At 37.7% G+C, this 24,942-nt stretch overlaps 1 protein-coding gene across 9 annotated transcripts in view; it reads left to right on the top strand.

The window, feature by feature from the left end:
• The window catches only part of SLC9C1 (solute carrier family 9 member C1), a 153,319-nt gene that overhangs the window by 123,172 nt on the left and 5,205 nt on the right, over positions 1–24,942 (top strand). For all 9 annotated transcript variants that reach the window (NR_135297.2, XM_011512718.2, NM_001320531.2 and 6 more), the window contains 5 exons: positions 1,717–1,848; positions 1,983–2,168; positions 3,698–3,824; positions 15,996–16,048; positions 19,082–19,188. Coding sequence is in view for 8 of the 9 variants with exons in the window: in XM_011512718.2 (XP_011511020.1) it covers positions 1,717–1,848; positions 1,983–2,168; positions 3,698–3,824; positions 15,996–16,048; positions 19,082–19,188 (605 nt within the window). In the remaining variant the exon portion in view is untranslated. The remainder of the gene's footprint in view (positions 1–1,716; positions 1,849–1,982; positions 2,169–3,697; positions 3,825–15,995; positions 16,049–19,081; positions 19,189–24,942) is intronic.

Below are 24,942 nucleotides of genomic sequence, written 5' to 3'. Positions count from 1 at the left end.
ACGGCATTTCGCCATGTTGGCTAGGCTGGTCTCCAACTCCTGACCTCAGGGGCTCAGCCCGCCTCAGCCTCCCAAAGTGCTAAGATTACAGGCATGAGCCACCACGCCCAGCTGAAATTTTCATACATGGCTGATGAGAGTGTAAAATGTTGCAACAACTTCTGAAACAGAGTTTTAATTTGAACAGTGGTTTTGGTCTGAAACAGTTTGTCAGTTGCTTACAAAAGTTAAATATACATGTCCTATACTACACACAAAAAAAGATACTGACCCAAGAGAAATAAAATCCAATGTACACAAAACTTGTTTTTGACTATTCATAGAAGTTTTATTCTTAGTAACCAATGATCTGTTCACTTTTAGCATAAGCATTTTATTTTTGCCTAAAAAGTTTGCTCCCCTCAAATAACATATTTATAGATGCATATATTTATCTAAAAAGGTCAAATAATTGTTAGTAATTTGTTTTCTATATTTTATCTTATAAAAAATATGTGTAAATCATACATCTGATAATGGGTTTGTATCTAAAATATATAAGGAACTCAAAAGCTCAACAGCAAGAAAATAAATAATACAATTAAAAATAAGCAAAGGACCTGAATAAACATTTCTCAAAAGAAGACATACAAATGGCCAACAGGTATATAAACAATGTTCAAAATCATTAATCATCAGAAAAATGCACATGAAAACTACAATGAGATACCACCTTACACTAGTCAGAAAGGCTATTCGAGTTCCTTGTAAATTCTGGACATTGGTCCATTGTCAGACGCATAGTTTGCAAATATATTCTCCCATTCTGCAGGGTTTTTGTTTCTCCCAGTGAATAGGTTGCCTGTTCACTTGATTATTTATTTATTTTTGTGGTACAGAAGCTATTTAGTTCAATTATGTTCCATTTGTCTATTTTTGTTCTTGTTGCCTGTGCTTTTGAGGTTTTAGTCATGAATTCTTTGCCTACACCAATGTCTAGAAGACTTTTCTCTAGGTTTCCTTCCAGCATGTTTATAGTTTAGGATCTAACGTTTAACTCTTTAATCCATGTTGAGTTGATTTTTTTTAATGTGGTGAGAGATAAAGGGTCCAGTATTATTGTTTTGCATAAAGCAATCAAATTTTCCCAATACCATTTATGGAAAGAAATTTTAGATGACACAAACAAATGAAAAACATCCTATGCTCATGGATCAGAAGAATTAGTACTGTTGAAGTGACCACACTGCCCAAAGCAACCTATAGATTGAATGCAATATCTATCAAAATGCCCTGATTTTCACAGAATTGGAAAAAACTATCCTAAAATTCATATGGAACCAAAAAAGAGCTCAAATATCCAAAGCAATCCTAAGCAAAAAGAACAAAGCTGGGGGAATCACATCACCTAACTTCAAATTATACTATAAAGATATAGTAATCAAAACAGCATGAAACTGGTTTACAAATATACACATACATCAATGGAACAGAATTTAAAAACCCAGAAATAAAGCCACATTTTACAGCCAACTGATTTTGACAAAGTCAACAACAACATAGGGAAAGGACACACCAATTTTCATTGATAGACACATTTTACTAAGTTTCCATGCTATTATGTGAATCTTACCTAATTAAATTATTAGCTTTAATAGTGTACATAAACAAAAAAACTTTATTCCTTAAACCATAGTGCACAAAATAAAATATCAAATTTACATCCTTCTTTTCCAGACATGTTTTATTCCCAAAACTCACTTGTATGATGCTTTTGAGCAATGCTCTCCTCTCATTAAACAAAAAATGTGGCTAAAACTTGGACTCGCTATTACAGCCAGAAAAATCAGAGAACACTTATCTTATGAGGTAGGAAGTGCTTGTATAAACTTGTCTTTCTTTCTTTGAATGGAATGGCATTAAAACATTATAATTGACTATTTATGAATATATACTGAACTTCATAGACTAATAATAGACTGAAATTGTGTTTTCTAAAACAGGATTGGAACTACAATATGCAACTAAAGCTCTCTAATATTTATGTAGTAGATATACCAATGAGTACCAAAACTGATATTTATGATGAAAATCTAATCTATGTTATCCTCATACATGGAGCTGTAGAAGATTGTCTGTTACGAAAAACTTATAGAGCACCTTTCTTAATTCCTATAACATGCCATCAGGTAAAGAAATATTGATTCCTGTCTTCAGATCAATATGCCATATGTCCAACAATGTATTAACGTCAGAAAAACTGTCACTATAATCTTAAGCTTTTCATCTTCCAATCTTCTCCCTTTTCCCACCACTCCATAAACACTCACTCATACCCACAACCACACCCACATAGGCCCACACACACCAAGTTCATTGACTGCTTTGGCACTTGCTAGCCCAAGCACAAGCTATTCCCATCCAATGCCTATGAAGGCCAAGCTGGACATTTTGGTTACAGTTAGATTTTGGTACAGTTATTCATTGCAAAAGAGGGTGCATTTATTTTACTCACATGTTGCAGAAAAACTGTATCAACAATGCTCTAGAAAGGTTCTGCCAGACTGATGCTGAATTGAGTATTAGTAGTATTCCTACAGCTGCTTTGAAAGTGAATGTCTTCTCATATTTAAATTGCTAATTGAGTTCCCCTGCCAATCAAAATGAGAACCTGAGCCATGTAAAGAAGGAAAGAAGTTGTGTGTGTGTGTGTGTGTGTGTGTGTGTGTGTGTGTGTGTGTGTATTGTTTTGTGTTGGGGGAGAATCAGAGAGGCACATGTCAATAGGAATCAGGGCACATAAAAGACACAGCTACAAAAAGTAATTCAAAGAGGACTCAGAGTTATTTAAAATATGCTGGAATACAGTGCTATATATTGAAATGATAAAAAAAATGATACTTACAACTTATCCTCAAGAGATCTCTCAACCAAGTGAAAAGAAACAAATAAGTAAAGATATTAATAAGATGTTTTACAGCTAGGATAAAAGCACTTACAGGGTAGATTTTGGACATAAGAAAAAAGTGTAATGGGAATGGGAGGGATCCCAAGGTGAGAAAGGATCACAAGAAAATTTTCTAAGTGGACATCACCAGCACTGACATAATGCTTAATGAGAGGAAGTGAAACATTCTCCGCTACGCTGCTCTCTACCTCTATCCTTGAACATGTAACAGAGATTTGGTGTGGGTGCTTGTTGAGAATTTAGACAGCCAAGCAGGAGCCTGAAGCCTGATAAACTCTATCTACTTTCCTAGAAACAGAGCCCTACTCATTGTGGATTTGGGTACCAGTGTGATTCAAACTATATTGAAAACAACCACAAGGTGGAAGAATATTTTGAAATATTTCTATATGGCAGAAAGAAAGTTTAATGAAAAGAATATTTTGAAATACTCTTTTCATTAAACTTTCTTTCTGCCATGTGGAAAAAGTCTCTGGATGATTTTTAAAGGGCCATTGGTAATTCATTCTTAATCATTTTTTTCATATGGAATAGAAATATTTAAAAATCAATGAATGTATATGGAATAGTGACTTTTACAAAACCAATATATCCAAGTATTTTAAGATATTAATCTTATTTGTGTTGATTTGTTAATATTTTCCATTTTTCCCAGATACCTAGAGAAAGCCAGAAATAGCAGCTTACTAGGTAAATTTTTAATTGTAGGATATTTGCTCAGAAATTAACTTGCATTCTGTCAACTTTCAGATACAAAGTATTGAAGATTTCACAAAAGTAGTGATTATTCAAACTCCGATTAACATGAAAACATTCAGAAGGAATATTAGAAAGTTTGTTCCTAAACATAAAAGTTATCTTACACCAGGATTAATAGGTGAGTTAGACTTCTTTCAGCAATTGTGAAAACTTACTTTCCCTTTATAAAATAGCCATATGTGTATTTGGAAACTGTTGTTTGCATTCTGCCTAATATATTGAGGAATCCTTTTAACTGCCATATTTGCTATTCAATGTATGAGTTCAGACAGACAATATTGAAGTTACATTTTTAAATTATTATATATTTCATCCATAAGAACAAAAGTGCATAATTATCAAAATGATATGAAAAAAGGTTAATGAGGGAATTACTAGCTCTTCCCCAAAATTAAGATATGTTACATAGCAATAACAATAAAAAGAGCATTGTACTGTCTGAACAACAAACATAAATCACTGGAACTAGATGAATAATTTTGATATAAAGCCTATTCTTCTTACAGATTTTAATAGATAAAACTTTAATCATAACATATATGATTATTTAATCACTACTATTAAGACCATGGTTAAAATTTGAAAAATACTTTTGAGATAAATTTAAAAATTGAATTTTGAGATAAATATTAAAAATTTAAAAATTATTGAATAAGTAATAATAATAGAATTTAATTGATCAATTCATTAAAGGAGAAATAATGTTCAAAATATAGAAATATAGAAATCAATTTTAAAATCCTGTGTCTATAAAAAATATTACCAATCAAGAGATCAACCAAAGACAATTCACAGGTGAAAACTTGCACTGAAAACACAATGTGGGATTCTCTCTCCTGCTGCCCTGTGAAGAGGTGCTGTCCACCATGACTGTAAGTTTCTTGAGGCCTCCCCAGCCATGTGGAGCTCTCCAGCTCGAAGGATGCACATTTAACATTTAAAGAAATGCTAGACTCCAATCTACAGCTCCCAGCATGAGTGACGCAGAAGACGGGTGATTTCTGCATTTCCAACTGAGGTACCGGGTTCATCTCACTGGGGAGTGTCAGAAAGTGGGTGCAGGACAGTGGGTGCAGCGCACCAAGTGTGAGCTGAAGCAGGGCAAGGCATTGCCTCACCTGGGAAGCACAAGGGGTTAGGGAATTCCCTATCCTAGTCAAAGAAAGGGGTGACAGACGGCGCCTGGAAAATCGGGTCACTCCCACCCTAATACTGTGCTTTTCCAACGATCTTAGCAAACGGCACACCAGGAGATTATATCCAGCGCCTGGCTTGGAGGGTCCTACGACCACGGAGCCTCACTCACTGCTAGCACAGCAGTCTGAGATCAAACTGCAAGGCAGCAACAAGGCTGGGGGAGGGGGACCCGCCATTGCTTAGGCTTGAGTAGGTAAACAAAGCGGCCAGGAAGATCGAACTGGGTGGAGCCCACTGCAGCTCAAGGAGGCCTGCCTGCTTCTGCAGATGCCACCTCTGGGGGCAGGACATTGCCAAACAAAAGGCAGCAGAATCCTCTGCAGACTTAAATGTCCCTCTCTGATAGCTTTGAAGAGAGTAGTGGTTCTCCTAGCACACAGCTGGACATCTGAGAATGGACAAACTGCCTCCTCAAGTGGGTCCCTGACCCCCGAGTAGCCTAACTGGGAGGCACCCCCCAGTAGGGACAGACTGACACCTCAAATGGCTAGGTACTCCTCTGAGACAAAACTTCCAGAGGAACGATCAGGTAGCAACATTTGCTGTTCACCAATATCCGCTGTTGTGCAGCCTCCACTGCTGATACCCAGGCAAACAGGGTCTGGAGTGGACCTCCAGCAAACTCCAACAGACCTGCAGCTGAGGGTCCTGACTGTTAGAAGGAAAAGTAACAAACACAAAGGACATCCACACCAAAACCCCATCTGTACGTCACCATCATTAAAGACCAAAGGTAGATAAAACCACAAAGATGGGGAAAAAACAGAGCAGAAAAACTGGAAACTCTAAATCAGAGTGCCTCTCCTTCTCTAAAGGAATGCAGCTCCTCACCAGCAATGGAACAAAGCTGGATGGAGAATGACTTTGACGAGTTGAGAGAAGACGGCTTCAGATGATCAAACATCTCTGAGCTAAAGGAGGAAGTTCGAACCCATGGCAAAGAAGTTAAAAACCTTGAAAAAAACTTAGACGAATGGCTAACTAGAATAACCAATGCAGAGAAGTCCTTAAAGGACCTGAGGGAGCTGAAAACCATGGCACAAGAACTACGTGATGAACGCACAAGCCTCAGTAGCCGATTTGATCAACTGGAAGAAAGGATATCAGTGATGGAAGATCAAATGAATGAAATGAAGTGAGAAGAGAAGTTTAGAGAAAAAAGAATAAAAAGAAATGAATAAAGCCTCCAAGAAATATGGGACTATGTGAAAAGACCAAATCTACGTCTGATTGGTGTACCTGAAAGTGATGGGGAGAATGGAACCAAGCTGGAAAACACTCTGCAGGATATTATCCAGGAGAACTTCCCCAATCTAGCAGGGCAGCCAACATTCAAATTCACGAAATACAGAGAATGCCACAAAGATACTCCTCAAGAAGAGCAACTCCAAGACACATAATTGTCAGATTCACCAAAGTTGAAATGAAGGAAAAAAAGTTAACGACAGTCAGAGAGAAAGGTCAGGTTACCCACAAAGGGAAGCCCATCCGACTAATAGCGGACCTCTCAGGAGAAACTCTACAAGCAAGAAGAGAGTGGGGGCCAATATTCAACATTCTTAAAGAAAAGAATTTTCAACCCAGAATTTCATATCCAGCCAAACTAAGCTTCATAAGTGAAGGAGAAATAAAATCCTTTATAGACAAGCAAATGCTGAGAGATTTTGTCACCACCAGGCCTGCCCTAAAAGAGCTCCTGAAGGAAGCGCTAAACATGGAAAGGAACAACCGGTACCAGCTGCTGCAAAATCATGCCAAAATGTAAAGACCATCGAGACTAGGAAGAAACTGCATCCACTAACGAGCAAAATAACCAGCTAACATCATAATGACAGGATCAAATTCACACAAAACAATATTAACTTTAAATGTAAATGGACTAAGTGCTCCAATTAAAAGACACAGACTGGCAAATTGTATAAAGAGTCAAGACCCATCAGTGTGCTGTATTCAGGAAACCCAATTCACGTGCAGAGACACACATAGGCTCCAAATAAAAGGATGGAGGAAAATCTACCAAGCAAATGGAAAACAAAAAAAGGCAGGGGTTGCAATCCTAGTCTCTGATAAAACAGACTTTAAACCAACAAAGATCAAAAGAGACAAAGAAGGCCATTACATAATGGTAAAGGGATAAATTCAACAAGAAGAGCTAACTATCCTAAATATATATGCACCCAACACAAGTGCACCCAGATTCATAAAGCAAGTCCTGAGTGACCTACAAAGAGACTTAGACTCCCACACATTAATAATGGGAGACTTTAACACCCCACTGTCAACATTAGACAGATCAACGAGACAGAAAGTCAACAAGGATACCCAGGAATTGTACTCAGCTCTGCACCAAGAGGACCTAATAGACATCTACAGAACTCTCCACCCCAAATCAACAGAATATACATTTTTTTCAGCACCACACCACACCTATTCCAAAATTGACCACATACTGGGAAGTAAAGCTCTCCTCAGCAAATGTAAAAGAACAGAAATTATAACAAACTGTCTCTCAGACCACAGTGCAATCAAACTAGAACTCAGGATTAAGAATCTCACTCAAAACCGCTCAACTATATGGAAACTGAACAACCTGCTCCTGAATGACTACTGGGTACATAACGAAATGAAGGCAGAAATAAAGATGTTCTTTGAAACCAACGAGAACAAAGAGACAACATACCAGAATCTCTGGGACGCATTCAAAGCAGTGTGTAGAGGGAAATTTATAGCACTAAATGCCCACAAGAGAAAGCAGGAAAGATCCAAAATTGACACCCTAACATCACAATTAAAAGAACTAGAAAAGCAAGAGCAAACATATTCAAAAGCTAGCAGAAGGCAAGAAATAACTAAAATCAGAGCAGAACTGAAGGAAATAGAGACACAAAAAACCCTTCAAAAAATTAATGAATCCAGGAGCTGGTTTTTTGAAAGGATCAACAAAATAGATAGACCGCTAGCAAGACTAATAAAGAAAAAAAGAGAGAAGAATCAAATAGACGCAATAAAAAATGATAAAGGGGATATCACCACCGATCCCACAGAAATACAAACTACCATCAGAGAATACTACAAACACCTCTACGCAAATAAACTAGAAAATCTAGAAGAAATGGATAAATTCCTCGACACATACACTCTCCCAAGACTAAACCAGGAAGAAGTTGAATCTCTGAATAGACCAATAACAGGAGCTGAAATTGTGGCAATAATCAATAGCTTACCAACCAAAAAGGGTCCAGGACCAGATGGATTCACAGCCGAATTCTACCAGAGGTACAAGGAGGAACTGGTACGATTCCTTCTGAAACTATTCCAATCAATAGAAAAAGAGGGAATCCTCCCTAACTCATTTTATGAGGCCAGCATCATTCTGATACCAAAGCCGGGCAGAGACACAACCAAAAAAGAGAATTTTAGACCAATATCCTTGATGAACATTGATGCAAAAATCCTCAATAAAATACTGGCAAAATGAATCCAGCAGTACATCAAAAAGATAATCCACCATGGTCAAGTGGGCTTCATCCCTGGGATGCAAGGCTGGTTCAATATACGCAAATCAATAAATGTACTCCAGCATATAAACAGAGCCAAAGACAAAAACCACATGATTATCTCAATAGATGCAGAAAAGGCCTTTAACAAAATCCAACAACCCTTCATGCTAAAAACTCTCAATAAATTCGGTATTGATGGGACGTATTTCAAAATAATAAGAGCTATCTATGACAAACCCACAGCCAATATCATACTGAATGGGCAAAAACTGGAAGCATTCCCTTTGAAAACTGGCACAAGACAGGGATGCCCTCTCTCACCACTCCTATTCAACACAGTGTTGGAAGTTCTGGCCAGGGCAATTAGGCAGGAGAAGGAAATAAAGGGTAGTCAATTAGGAAAAGAGGAAGTCAAATTGTCCCTGTTTGCAGATGACATGATTGTATATCTAGATAACCCCATTGTCTCAGCCCAAAATCTCCTTAAGCTCATAAGCAACTTCAGCAAAGTCTCAGGATACAAAATCAATGTGCAAAAATCACAAGCATTCTTATACACCAACAACAGACAAACAGAGAGCCAAATCATGAGTGAACTGCCATTCACAAGTGCTTCAAAGAGAATAAAATACCTAGGAATCCAACTTACAAGGGACGTGAAGGACCTCTTCACGGAGAACTACAAACCACTGCTCAAGGAAATAAAAGAGGATACAAACAAATGGAAGAACATTCCATGCTCATGGGTAGGAAGAATCAATATCGTGAAAATGGCCATACTGCCCAAGGTAATTTACAGATTCAATGCCATCCCCATCGAGCTACCAATGACTTTCTTCACAGAATTGGAAAAACTACTTTAAAGTTCATATGGAACCAAAAAAGAGCCCGCATCGCCAAGTCAATCCTAAGCCAAAAGAACAAAGCTGGAGGCATCACGCTACCTGACTTCAAACTATACTACAAGGCTGCAGTAACCAAAACAGCATGGTACTGGTACCAAAACAGAGATATAGATCAATGGAACAGAACAGAGCCCTCAGAAATAACGCCACATATCTACAACTATCTGATCTTTGACAAACCTGAGAAAAATAAGCAATGAGGAAAGGATTCCCTATTTAATAAATGGTGCTGGGAAAACTGGCTAGCCATATGTAGAAAGCTGAAACTGGATCCCTTCCTTACACCTTATACAAAAATCAATTCACAATGGATTAAAGACTTAAACGTTAGACCTAAAACCATAAAAACCCTAGAAGAAAACCTAGGCATTACCATTCAGGACATAGGCATGGGCAAGGACTTCATGTCTAAAACACAAAAAGCAATTGCAACAAAAGCCAAAATTGACAAATGGGATCTAATTAAACTAAAGAGCTTCCGCACAGCAAAAGAAACTACCATCAGAGTGAACAGGCAACCTACAAAATGGGAGAAAATTTTCGCAACCTACTCATCTGACAAAGGGCTAATATCCAGAATCTACAATGAACTCAAACAAATTTACAAGAGAAAAACAAACAACCCCATCAAAAAGTGGGTGAAGGACATGAACAGACACTTCTCAAAAGAAGAAATTTATGCAGCCAAAAAACACATGAAAAAATGCTCATCATCACTGGTCATCAGAGAAATGCAAATCAAAACCACAATGAGATACCATCTCACACCAGTTAGAATGGCAATCATTAAAAAGTCAGGAAACAACAGGTGCTGGGGAGGATGTGGAGAAATAGGAACACTTTTGCACTGTTGGTGGGACTGTAAACTAGTTCAACCATTGTGGAAGTCAGTGTGGCAATTCCTCAGGGATCTAGAACTAGAAATACCATTTGACCCAGCCATCCCATTACTGGGTATATACCCAAAGGACTATAAATCATGCTACTATAAAGACACATGCACACGTATGTTTATTGCGGCATTATTCACAATAGCAAAGACTTGGAACCAACCCAAATGTCCAACAATGATAGACTGGATTAAGAAAATGTGGCACATATACACCATGGAATACTATGCAGCCATAAAAAATGATGAGTTCATGTCCTTTGTGGGGACATGGATGAAATTGGAAATCATCATTCTCAGTAAACTATCGCAAGAACAAAAAACCAAACACCGCATACTCTCACTCATAAGTGGGAATTGAAAAATGAGATCACATGGACACAGGAAGGGGAACATCACACTCTGGGGACTGTTGTGGGTGGGGGGAGGGGGAAGGGATAGCATTGGGAGATATACCTAATGCTAGATGACAAGTTAGTGGGTGCAGCACACCAGCATGGCACATGTACACATATGTAACTAACCTGCACAATGTGCACATGTACCCTAAAACTTAAAGTATAATAATAAAAGAAAAAAAACTTAAAAAAATAAATAAATAAAAATAAAAAATAAATACAAAATAAATAAATAAATAACTTATTTAAAACGTACTACCAGAAAAAAATAACTAAACACAATGGAAGATAGTAAGAAAGGAAGAAAGAAAGAGAATAGTTACAAAACAACTAGAAAACAGGTAAGACAATGGCAGTAGTAAGTCCCTACCTATTAGTAGTAACAATGAATGTAAATGGACTACATTCTCCAATTAAAAGATAAAGCATGGCTTAATAAATTAAAAAAATAAAACCCAACTATATGCTGCCTATGAGAAGAACTCTTTGCCTATAAAAATACATGTACACTGAAAATGAGAGGATAGTATAAAATATTCCATGCAAACAGAAACCAAAAGAGGAAGAGTAGCTAAACTTATATCAGATAAAATGGACCTTAAATCGAAATCTTTACCAAAAAAAGAACAAAAAAGGTCATTATATAATAAAAAAGGGTCAATTAAACAAGAGGATATAACAATTGTCAATATACGTATGCGCTAAACATCAGAGTCCCCAGATATGTAAAGCAAATATTAAGAGATCTAAAGGGAGAGGTGGACTGCAATAAAATAGTAGTAGGGGACTTCAACACCCCAGTTACAGCAATGGGCAGATTATGAAGACAGAAAATAAACAAACGTTGGAGTTAAACTAGACCCTACACCAAATGAGCCTAACAGACATTTACAGAGTATTTCATTCAACTGCTGCAGAATATACATTTTTCTTATCAGCACATGGAATATTCTCCAGGATAGGCCACATGTTAAGCCACAAAACAAGTCTCAATAATTTTTAAAAAGTCAAAACTATATCAAATATCTTTTATGACCACAATGGGATAAAACTAGAAATCAATCAGAGGAGGAACTATGGAAACTGACCCCAATGGGATAAAACCAGAAATCAATCAGAGGAGGAACTTTGGAAACTATGAAAGTTTTTTTAAATACGTGAAATTTAAAAAAACTTGCACCTAGATGACCAATGGGTCAATTTAGAAATTAAAGGAAACATTTTTTTTAATTTATTGAAATAAATGAAAATGGGAACACAAAATTCCAGAGCCTATGAGATATAGCAAAACCAATACTAAGTGGGAAGTCTATAGCAATAAATACCCACACCCCCAAAATAGAAACTCTTAAAAAAAAATCTAATGACACACCTCAGGGAACTTGAAAGCAAGAACAAACCAAACCCAAAATTAGTAGAAGAGAATAAATAATAAATGAGCAGAAATAAATAAAATTGGAAATAATAATGATTTTAAAAGTTGGCAAAAATATTTTTTTTTAAAAAAGATAATTAACAAAACCTTATCTAGACTAAGAAAAAGAGATAAACCCCAGATCAATAAAACCAGAAGTTAAAAAGTAAAGATTGCAACCGATACCACAGAAATACAAAGGATCATCATAGACTACTATGAAAAATTATACACGAACAAATTGGAAAACCTAGAAGAAATGGATAAATTCCTGGACACATACAACCTATCAAAATTGAAACATGAAGAAATAGAACACCTGTACAGACCCATAACACATAACAAGATCAAAGCCATAATAAAAAGTCTCCCATTAAAGAAAACCCAGGATCTAATGGGTTCACTACTGAATTGTAATGAATATTTAAATAATAACTAATATCAATTCTACTTAAACTATTTCAAAAAATTGAAGAGAAAGAAATACTTTTAAATTTATTCTACTAGGCCAGCATCATCCTGATACCAAAAGCAGACAAGGACACAGGAAAAATAGAAAACTATAGGCCAATATCCTTGATCAACAGAGATGCAAAAATCCTCAACAAAATACTAGCAAACCAAATTCAACAATACATTAAAAAGGTCATTCATCATGTTCAAGTGGGATTCATCTCAAGGATGCAAAGATGGTTCAACATATGCAAATCAATAAATGTGATGTATTACATCAACAGAATCAAGGATGAAAACCCTATGATCATTTCAGTAAATGCAGAATAAGTATTCAATAAAATTCAACATCCTTTCATAATAAAAATCATCAACAAATTGAATATAGAAGGAACATACCTCAACACAATAAATGTGACATATGTGGCAAACCCTCAACTAATAACATATTAAAGAGGAAAGAATTTTAAAAAGCTTTTCCACTAAGATCTGGAGCAAAACAAGGATGTCCACTTTTATCACTATTCAACATAGTACTTGTGGTCCAAGCCAGAGCAATTAGGCGAGGGAAAAAAATAAAGGCATCCAACTTGGAAAGGAAGAAGTCAAAGTATTCTCGTTTGCAGATGACATAATAGCATACTTAGAAAAACCTAAGGACTCCACACCAAAAACTCTTAAAACTGATAAATCCAGCAAAGTTGCAGGATACAAAATCAACATACAAAAAGTCAGTAGCATTTATATAGGCTAACAGTGATCAGTCTGAAAAAGAAATGAAGAAAGCAATCCTATTTACAATAGCTACAAAAAAAAAAATACCTAGGAATAAATTTAACTTAAGAAGTGAAAGATCTCTACAAGAAAAACTATAAAACACTGTTGAAAGAAATCAAAGAAGGAACACAAAAAATTAAAAGATATTCCATGTTCATAGATTGGAATAATTAATGTTGTTAAAGTGGTCTATACTACCCAAAGCAATCTATAAATCCAATGCAAGGCCTATCAAAATACCAACAAGCATTCTCCACAGACATAGAAAAAAAATCCTAAAATCCATAGGGAACCACAAAAGACCCTGAATAGCCACAGCAGTCTTGAGCAAAAAGAACAAAACCAGAGGCATCACATTACCCGATTTCAAACTATACTACAAAGCTACAATTACCAAAATAGCATGGTGCTGGCATAAAAACAGACACATAGATCAATGGAGCAGAATAAAGAACCCAGAAATAAATCCATGCACTGATAGCCAACTCGTTTTCAACAAAAGCACCAAGAACATACATTGGGGAAAGGACAGTCTCTTTAATAATTGGTGCTAGAAAAACTGGACATCCATATGCAGAAGAATGAAACAAGTTTCCCATCTATTACCATATAGAAAAAAACAACTCAAAATGGATTAGAGACTTAAATTTAAGACCTAAAACTGTAAAACTACAAAAAAAAAGTTGGGAAAATGCTATAGGACATTGGCCTGAATATTTTTTTGCCTAAGACCACAAAAGAACAGACAACCAAAGCCAAAATAAACAAGTGGGATTATATCAAGCTAAAAAGCTTCTGCACAACAAAGGAAACAGTCTACAAAGTGAAGAGACAACCTACAGAATAACAGAAAATATTTGCAAACTATTCATCTGACATGGTATTAATAACCAGAATATATAAGGAACATAATTCAATAGCAAAAACACAAGTACTTGATTTTTAAATACACAAAAGATCTGAAGAGACATTTATCAAAAGAAGACATGCAAATGACCAACAGATAGACGAAAAAATGCTCAACTTCACTAAAAATAGAGAAATGCAAATCAAAACCACAATGAGATATCATTTCACCTTAGTTAGAATGACTACTGTCAAAAAGACAAAAAATTTAAAATACTGGCAAATACACCAAGAAAGGGGAACACCTGTACACTATTGGTGGAGATGTAAAGTAGTACAGCCATTATGGAAAACTGTACAGTGTTTCTTTAAAAAAAAATAAACTAAAACGAGAATTACCATATGATCTAGCAATCCCACTGCTGGGTATATATTCAAAAGAAATAAAATCAGTATGTTGAAGCGATGTCTTCACTCCCATGTTTATTGCAGCACTGTTCATAACACCCAAGATATGAAATCAACATAAGTGTTCATCAACAAATGGATAAAGAAAATGCAGTGTGTATATGTGTGTATGTGTGTATATACACAATGGAATATTATCTAGCCATTAAAAAAACAATAAAATTCTCTCATTTGCTGCAATGTGTTTGAAACTAGAGGTCATTATCTTAAGCTAAATAATCCAGGCACAGAAAGACAAATGCGACATGTTCTCATTCATATGTGGGCACTAAAAAAGTGGATCTCATAGAAGTATAGAGTACCATGATAGTTATCAAAGACTGAGAAGGAAAGGGAAAGGAGATGATGAAGAATAGTTGACTAAGGGGTACACAAAAATACAGTTAGAGGGGAAAAGTTCTAGTATTCAATAGTACGGTAATCATAGTTAAAAAAATATTGTATATTTCCAAATAGCCAGAAGAGAAGAATTGTAATCTTCCCAACACAAAAAAAAAGATAAATGTTTGAGGTGATGGTTATCCCAATTATTCTGATTTGATCTTTACCCACTGTATACAGGCATCAAAATATTATATGTACCCCCAAAATATGTACAGCTAATATATATCAATAAAATATTTAAATTGTCAAAAAAATTAAAATAAAATACCTTGATTCTCTGCTTTTAAAAATGATTAAGCATATACAGGGCATGGTTTTGGGCCCTTCACCGTCTGCTCTTTCACCTGCTACCTCCTCTCCCCACACTTTAAAACCTAGCCATACCAAACTACAAATGGTTCACCTGATATAAAAGACCTGGTGGCCTCCCATTCCTGAGCGTTTCCCCATATTGTTCATTTTTCCTGAAATTCTCTATACATCCTCTTCCCCACATCTCCTCATTTCATGGAGCTAACTCCTTATCCTTGAAATCTCAGCTTTTTCTCCAAGCAGCCATCACTGATACATCCCAAATTCACAAAACTGCGCTATGTGACTCTCCTGCATGCTCCAATAGCCCAACATACACACAGTCCTGTTTTTACCACGTCATATTTCTTTGTATGTTTGCTAGTCTGTCTGTTTTACTAACTTAAAACTCCTAGAAGACATGGATCTTAATTCTTTTGCTTTCTTATGTATCCTTATTGCTAGCAACATGCCTGGCCCTCAATACATATTAATATAAAAGTATTTTGGGATATTGGAATGATAGATGATTTTGTAGCTCTACTTTCCAAACTTTTTGCACATTTATTATATCATCTCCATAATAAAAGACTTATAATCACTTTTTTAAATGTGACCCTTTTTTTTAACCAAATGAGATTACCACCAATTTCAGATCACAGGTCCTGAGTGTGATTTGAATCTGATCTAATCTGATAGTTGGACTAATAGAAATAGTCACTTGCTTCAGTGGTTGAATTAACACTGTTTTTTTTTTTTTTAATCAGGTTCAGTTGGAACATTGGAAGAAGGCATTCAAGAAGAAAGAAATGTTAAGGAGGTAAATTTAAAGCAGCCTTTCTAAAAGTTGTATTTTGGGTAAAAGAGAGTCTAGAATTTATGGAAACTACCAATGTGTTTCTCTTATTCTGAAAAAGTTCATCTGCTAGTCATTTTGTAGATTTTGGTGTAAAACACTTATTTTAGCACTGGGTACAGTGGAAATTATACTTATTTTTAGGGAAATATTAGAGAAATGACAAAGAAAAACGAAGTTCAAGGGATGCCAGAAGATCTGTCTTGAATCACATTAGCAACCAGGCACTACCAGGATGGCTACGGTTGTAGCACACCCAAGCCCTTTCCACTCCCCCTTGGAATGCCAAAATCTGGACTGACCCTTAATTCTTTCAGTGCTACCTCAGCTATGCATTTGGGATCTTTAAGCCTGAAAGCAGTTTGCCCTGTGTTTACAGTGCATGACAGAAAGAAGGAGCTCAATAATAAATGCTCTAATAAAATATATCCCGGCTAACCTAAATTATTCAGAAAGTCCCACAAATATTGATCAATTTCATATTCCTCTATGACCCTGGGGATCTTGAGATCCTCAAAATCTTGAGCCAACTTCACAATAGGATTCCAAGCTGTGAAACACTATAGGACTCTGGAACTGAAACTGAGCAGAGAGAAATATAATGAAAATACCCCACCAAATCTACATCATCCTACCTGTGTCTGAATCGTATGGACTCCAGATGGAATGGAGAGTTCATTTTTAGTTTTAGTCTCTGCCAAGTTGTTTATATTGCTCCAGAAGATGCTGATTATAATACTCAGAATCTGATAAATGTCTGCTATGAATACACAAGCCATAAAATTGTATATTTAGTTGTTAAATACATATTTTACATCCATTAAGCCTATTTGTTCTATTAGCACTAGACATAAACCTGAGAACAGACACTCCTTTTGTCCCCAACATCTCCTCACAAATATATGTTGAATAAAAGATGATCATAAGTTCTGTGATAAGTTGAAGATGTTCCTCATCCAAGTGCCCTGGCTTTTAAGAGGACAACACTGTTCTCCAGTACCCAAGTGTCCATCCCTCATGAAAGAAGGATGTTCACTGTCTCCCAAAAGGATTTTGGAGACTTCTTGGGAAAAAGTTTCCTCAAACCTTTCCTATTTATTGCCTGTTGAATGGAATTCATGGCAGAATAGCATAAGGGCCAAGAATCTGGGCTCTGGTATGAGACTTTCTGGAATTGACTCAGATTCTACCACTTAATAGCCACGTGACCTTCGGCAAATTTTTTAACCTACATAAGCATCATTTTTTCATCTATAAAAGAGTGATAATAGCAATACCCACCTCTGTAGAGATCAAAGAAATGAAAAGTACACTGCACAGTCCTTGGCACAAACCAGCAATTCCTACACAGTTTCCATTATTCTTGGCTCACCCTTTCTTAATACAGGAAACTATTTCTCCAAACGTCTTTGACTCTTCTCATATTCTCTAAAAAACATGGATACATGCACCTATTCTAATTCTTCCAAACACAGCTGCTCCTGAAGGCTAGGGAATAACAAAGGGAAATAACAATAGAAAAACAGATGAGGAGGACATTTAAAATAAAATATTAGATGACTTCTAGAGCCCACTGACAAGACCATCTTTTTTTTTTTTTTTAACAATGCTGCCTTAATAGCATATTTGGAGGGATTGAAGAAGGAAAGCTAATGTTTTTCATGTACCTAGCCTCAAACAGTGCTGCTTTTCCATCAATTAAAAAAAGAATGATGGCATGGTGGTTGTTAATGAAGCAGGAGTGTGAAAATGAAAGTTTGTTAAATGACAGGAATGTTAGCTATTAAGACATATAAAGAAAATCATCAAATTGTGTTGTTTAGTAGATGCTTCTTCTCCCTGCAGTTAGATCCTGGCTGTGTTAGAGTCAGTTCTCTTCCCAGGATCCTAAACCCTTTCCTCATCATTACCATCCCAGGACTGTGGCTTTCCCTTTACATAATAAAAAGTCCACCAAAGGTGTGGGGGAAAGAAAGATAGATCAGACTGTTATTGTGTCTATCTAGAAAAAGGAAGACATAAGAAACTCCATTTTGATCTGTACTAAGAAAAATTCTTCTGCCTTGAGATGCTGCTAATCTGTAACCCTGGCCCCAACCCTGTGCTTGCAAAAACACGTGCTGTATTGACTCAAGGTTAAATGGATTTAGGGCTGTGCAGGATGTGCTTTGTTAAAAATGTGTTTGCAGGCAGTATGCTTGGTAAAAGTCATCGCCATTCTCCAGTCTCGAGTACCCAGGGACACAATGCACTGTGGAAAGCCGCAGAGACCTCTACCCAAGAAAGCCTGGGTATTGTCCAAGGTTTCTCCCCACTGAGACAGCCTGAGATATGGCCTCATGGGAAGGGAAAGACCTGACTGTCCCCCAGCCTGACACCAATACAGGGTCTGTGCTGAGGAGGATTAGTGAAAGAGGAAGGCCTCTTTGCAGTTGAGATCAGAGGAAGGCATCTGTCTCCTGCTCGTCCCTGGGAATGGAATGTCTCGGTGTAAAACCCGATCATACATTCTATTTTCTGAGATAGGAGAAAATCGCCTCATGGCTGGAGGTGAGACATGCTGGCAGCAATACTGCTCTTTACTGCACCGAGATGTTTGTGTAAAGTCAAACATAAATCTGGCCTACATGCACATCGAGGCACAGCACCTTTCCTTAAACTTACTTATGACACAAAGTCCTTTGCTCACATGTTTTCCTGCTGATCCTTTACCCACCATTACCCTATAGTCCTGCCACATCCCCCTCTCCGAGATGGTAGAGATAGTGATCAATAAATACTGAGGGAACTCAGAGACCAGTGCCGGTGCGGGTCTTCCCTATGCTGAGTGCAGGTCCCCTGGGCCCACTTTTCTTCCTCTATACTTTTTCTCTGTGTCTTATTTCTTTTCTCAGTCTCTCATCTCCACCTTGCGAGAAATACCCACAGGTGTGGAGGGGCAGGCCCCCTTCAAAAGGCCTATCATGACATCAAGTAACAAAGTGTTTTGAATCCCAGGATGGAGCACACAGTGCCGCCACTGCCAGGAGTCCCCAGCCTTGCTCCCTGCTGGGGACAAAGTTCAACTGTAAGGAGTCCCCTAGAATAAACCTAAGGAAAGTCAGGTAAGCCACTCTGGTTTCCTCAACAGGATCAGGAGCACATCTGTCCCTGGAGATACAGACTGAAGCCAAAGTTACTTGCCCTTTATGTGATAGTGTGAATTATAGCTCTTTCCACTAGTCAGATGATTCTTCTAATTACAGTGTTTCTAAGTTGTAATTTAGAGAATTAACTTCAAAATAATACTCCTTTATCTAGATTTCTGAAAACTTCATAATATTCTGGTTTCCTCTCTATATACTGCCACTTAATCTCACATGCAACACTGGCTGCTCTCAATTTAGCAGGTTATTTTTCAGGCTACCATGTACTGTTGGAAGATATAAAAAGATAAGTTATGACTTCACTTCTCAAGTGTTTATGTTCTAGTTAAGAAGACAAAACCTACCAGAAGGCAATTAAACTACCATAAAAGATACACTGTGGATAACACCAGCTGAAGTTAAAGGAATTCAAGAGAGAAATGGCTGGCTGTGAGAATGAGCAAAGTCTTTGTAAAGAAAGGAAGAGGATATTCACAAGAGAGGATAAAAGAAAGCAAGACCTTTGGGGAACAATGAGGAGGACAGTCCGACAGTTAACTGTTCAAAATGTATCTATGGGGAAATATTTGTGTGTGTATGCTTTATATGATTTTATGTTACATAAATCATATCACTAAGTTAAAAAATAAAAGCCATCAGATAAATAGGTTTATCTCCATTTTAAAAATGTAATTCTTCAGGCTGGGCGCGGTGGCTCACGCCTGTAATCCCAGCACTTTGATAGGCCAAGGCAGGTGGATCACGAGGTCAGGAGTTCAAGACCAGCCTGACCAAGGTAGTGAAACCCCATCTCTATTAAAAATACAAAAATTAGCCAGGCGCTGTGGCAGATGCCTGTAATCCCAGCTACTCAGGGGGCTGAGGCAGGAGAATCGCTTGAACCTGGGCGGCGGAGGTTGCAGTGAGCCGAGATCACGCCATTGCACTCCAGCCTGGGCAACAGAGTGAGACTTCATCTCAAAAAAAAAAAAAAATATATATATATATATATATGTATATGTATTTATATATATATATATATGTATATGTATTTATATATATATATGTATTTTTATATATATATTTTATATATATATATATTTCTTCCATGCCACCTCCATATTTTAAAATATGGCCATATTTAAAAGTAGATTTAAAAGCTTAAAATACCCTATAAAAAAGTATTTGCAAGATGAATTTAATGGCGGATTAGAGGCTTTCAATGTGCCTCAGCCACTTTGAAGTAGCAAGATAGTGCATAAAAATTATCTCCGTGAGCTACAATTCAAGAAGGAAGATGGGAATCCCACTGGAATCATGAGGGACACCCCAGATCCCAGAGAGAAGAACAGTGGCAAACAGCACTCCCATGACAGTATCTACCTCATAAAAGTGAGTGAAGCCCCAGTATATGAGAGAAGTAGAGAGCTTCCCTTTGTGACTCATCTTTCTACTGGAGAGCCATGCAACCCAGGCCAAGAGAGACCACTTTGTTTCTCCCCTAGCCCTCGAGTTAACTTAGGAGAAAGGCACTGGAGAAAGCTGTAGACATTTTCCCAGACCTGGGATGAGAGCAGGATGCCATTTTTAATCCGGTCACATAAAAAGTCAGTCATTTTTGGGTGACTCAGCAGCATGGCTATACAGGCATTTTAGTCTCAGGCCAGAGATTGAACACCCTGTTCTGGAGCAGGGTAGGAGCCTTCACTGCCAGAATTGTGGGAAGTGCCTCAACAGTAGGTGCTAGAATTGTGCTTTTTCCCATTGCAAGTCTGGGGTAGGAGGAAAACTGCTACAGCTGTAATTTCTTCTGGGTAGTGAGACTTGCAGCCAGGGCCAGCTTGGCAACCACAAACTTATCTGTATGTGCCATTGCTGAGTGCCTTACCCTGCTCCCCTGAGATTGTGGTGCAGTGGGGCCCTTTCTGCTCAACCTCCAGGTAGAAATGCAGGTATGTGGAGCACTCATTCACCCTGTTCAGCACCCTAAGCCATCCCACCCTTCCTGGACACAGATCATGGTGCAGTGGGGCTCCCTCTGCTCCCCACCCAGGCAGATCTCAGGTGTTCAGAGCACCCATTTGCCTTGTTCAGCAGCTTGAGCCATGCAACCCTTTCTGGACATAGATCATGGTACAGTGGGGCTCTCTGTTCCACACCCAGGCAGACCTCCAGGCATTTGGAATACCCATTCACCTGGTTCAGCAGCCTAAGCTATGCCATCCTCCCTAGACATAGATTGTGGTGCAGCAGGGCTCTCTCTGCTCCAAGCCCAGGGAGATCTCCAGACATTTGGGGCACCCATTTGCCTGGTTCAAGAGCCTGAGCCACCCCATCCTTTCTGCACATAGATCATGGTATAGCAGGGCTCTCTCTACTCCACACTTAGGCAGATCTCCAGGCATTTGGATTACTCACTCACTGGATCAGCAGCCTGACCCACCCCATCCTTTCTGTGCAGAGATCCTGGTGTGTGGGAACTCTCTCTCTGCTTCATGCCCAGGCAGATCACCGGCATTCAGAGTACCCACTGACCTGTTTCAACAGCCTGAGCCACCCCACCCTTCCAGAATCATGAAGCAGTGGGACTCTCTGCTCCATGACCAGGCAGATCTCCAGGCATTCAGACTATGCACTCACTGGATCAGCAGCCTGACCCAACTGCTCCCCCCACTTCCTGTGCAGAGATTTTGGTACAGGGGGACCTTCTCTGCTCCACGCTCACACAGATCTCCAAGCATTCAGAGCACCTGCTTCCTTGGGCCAGCAGCCTGAGTCACCCTACCCCTCCTGTGCAGAGATCTTGGTGCAGGGGGGCCATCTCTGCTCCACACACAAGCAGATCTCAGGCATCTGAAGCACCCACTCTTCTAGATTAGGAGCTTAGGCTGCCCCCATCCCTGTGCAGAGAACTCAGAGCCAAGGTTTCCCAACTCCATGCCCAGGCACACCAGTGAGTACCTGGTGGACACTCACTGGATTCTCTATTGGCACTGGTGCTTGTGCCTGCTATCAAGAGACCTGCAGACAGACCTGCCCAGTCAAGACACACCCTTTTTGGCTCCTACTCCCCATCCCCTCAAGGCTGAGCAGGGAGCTCAGACCACTGTGCATATTAGGAATTAGCCCATTGCCTAAAACAATAGTTTCTGCCAGTAAACACGGGTCAAGTATATACCTAAACACATTGGCTACAGCCAGCTCTTACTGTAAGTACCATCTACAGGCTTGTACGATGAACTGCACAGCCCAATATAAAACCTGCCAAAAGTTTTATTAAGACATAGAGCTACAGTAGCAAAGCCAAAACAGCATTCTCTATGGTCATACCCCCTAGGGAGTGGGGGAAAAGGGAAGGGAAAAAATAAAATATAAACAAATAATAATATTATTAAAGGGAAAAAGGAAAATTCTACTCACATGAAAAGAATTACAAAAATTAGAAGTGCCAGTGTCTCCAGATGAGAAGGAACCCATGCAAGAATTCTGGCACCATGAAAAATCTAAATGTAGTAACACCACTAAAGGATTTCACTAGCTCTCCAGCAATGGTCCCTAACCAAAATGTAAACTCAGAGATACAGATAAGGAAGTCAAAGCATGGATTATAAGGAAGCTTAATGAGATCCAAGATGAAGCTGGAAATCAACACAAAGAAACCTTAAAACAATCCAGGAAATGAAAGAAGAGATAAACACCTTAAAAAGAAATCAATCAGGGCTTCTGGAATTGGAAAACTCACCTAAAAAAATTGAAAATACAATTGAAAATGTTATCAATAGACTAAACCAAAGAGAAAAATGAATTTCAGAGCTTGAAGACCACTCTTTTGAACTAACCCTGTCTGCCTGAAATAAAGTTTAAAAGAATTTTAAAAATGAGCAAAGTCTTTGAGAAATATGGGATTATATAAAGAAATCAAACTTATGAATTATTGGCATTCCCTAGAGAAGGAGAAAAGTCAAACAACCTATAGAATATATTTCAGGAAATAATTCAAGAAAACTTCTTTAATCTTGCTAGAGATGTAGACATCCAGATACAAAAACCTAGAGACAATATACAAAATGAACGTCCCCAACACATATAGTCACCAGACTGTCCAGGGTCAGTGCCAAAGAAAAAATTTTAAAGTCAGCGAAATAGGGTAGATAACATACAATGGGAACTCCATGAGGCTAACAGCAGATTTCTCACCAGAAACCTTACAAGCCAGGAGAGACTGGGGATCTATATTCATCTTTCTGAAAGAAAGAAAATTCCAACCAAGAATTTCATATCCTGCCAAACTAAGCTTTATAAGCAAAGGAAAATTAACTTTCCAGACAAGAAAGTGCTAAGGGAATTCATTACCATGAGACCATCCTTACAAGAGACTGTTAAGAGAGTTCTAAACAAGGAAAGAAAAGAATGGCAACTGCTACCACAAAAACTCACCCATGTACATACCTTGCAGGCCATATAAAACAAAAACACAACAGAAACTGCACAATACACAGCTAACAACTTCACAATAGGATCAAAATTACATATCAATATGAATCTTGAATGTAAATGGTGTAAACACCCCCACGTAAAAGGCATAGAGGGGCAAGTTGAATTTAAAAAACAAGACCTATCCTTCAAGAAACGCATCTCACACATAATGACACCAATGAGCTCAAAGTAAAGGGCTGGAGAAAGATCTACCATGCAAATGGAAAACAAAAAAGAGCAGGGGTCACTATTTTTATATCAGATAAAACAGACTTTAAATAGGAAACAGTAAAAAAGACAAAGAAATGCATTATGTAATGATAAAGGGTTCAATGTAAAAAGAAGACTTAATCATCCTAAATTTATATGCACCCAATATTGGAGCACCTAGGTTCATAAAACACATACTTCTAGGTGTATGAAAAGGCTTAGATAGTCATACAATACTAGTGAGGGACTTTAACTCCCCACTGATAGTATTAGACAGATTGAGACAGAAAAGTAACAAAGAAATTCTGGACTTTAACTCAACACTTGGACCTAATAGACATCTACAGAATACGCCACCCATCAACCACAATGTATATTATTCTCATCCGCACACAAAAAATATTCCAAGATTGACCACATGCTCAGCCATAAAGCAAGTCTCAATCAATTCAAAAGAATCAAAATCATACCAACCATATTCTTGGACAACAGTGGAATAAAAATAGAAATGAATACCAAGAAGATCTCTCAAAACCACACAATTACATGGAAATTAAACAATTGACTTCTGAATGATGTTTGAGTAAACAATTAAATCAAGGCAAAAATCAAAAACAACTTTGAAATAAATGAAAGAGACACAACATACCAAAGTCTCTGGGATACAGCAAAACCAGTGTTAAGCATAAAGTTTATAACACTAAATGCCTACCTCAAAAGTTAGAAAGATCTCAAATTAACAATCTAATTTCACCCCTTAGGAACTAGAAAAACAAGAACAAATGAGCTACAAAGCTAGCAGAAGAAAAGAAATAACTAAAATCAGAAAAGAACTGAACAAAATTAAGACATAAAAGTCCACACAAAGAATCAATGGAAATAAAGTTGGTTTTTTGAAAGGATAAACAACATCAGTAGATCACTAGCTAGATTAAAAAAAAAAAGAAAGCTCCAAATACACACAATCAGAAATGACAAAGGTGACGTTATAACCAATCCCACAGAAATACAAAAGATCCTTGGAGACTGTTATGAACACCTCTACAT

The sequence above is a fragment of the Homo sapiens genome, chromosome 3 (assembly GCF_000001405.40).
Source record: "Homo sapiens chromosome 3, GRCh38.p14 Primary Assembly".
NCBI classification, from domain to species: domain Eukaryota; kingdom Metazoa; phylum Chordata; class Mammalia; order Primates; family Hominidae; genus Homo; species Homo sapiens.
Note: the sequence above shows the minus strand (reverse complement) of the source record. Positions and strands in the feature narration are given on the sequence as shown.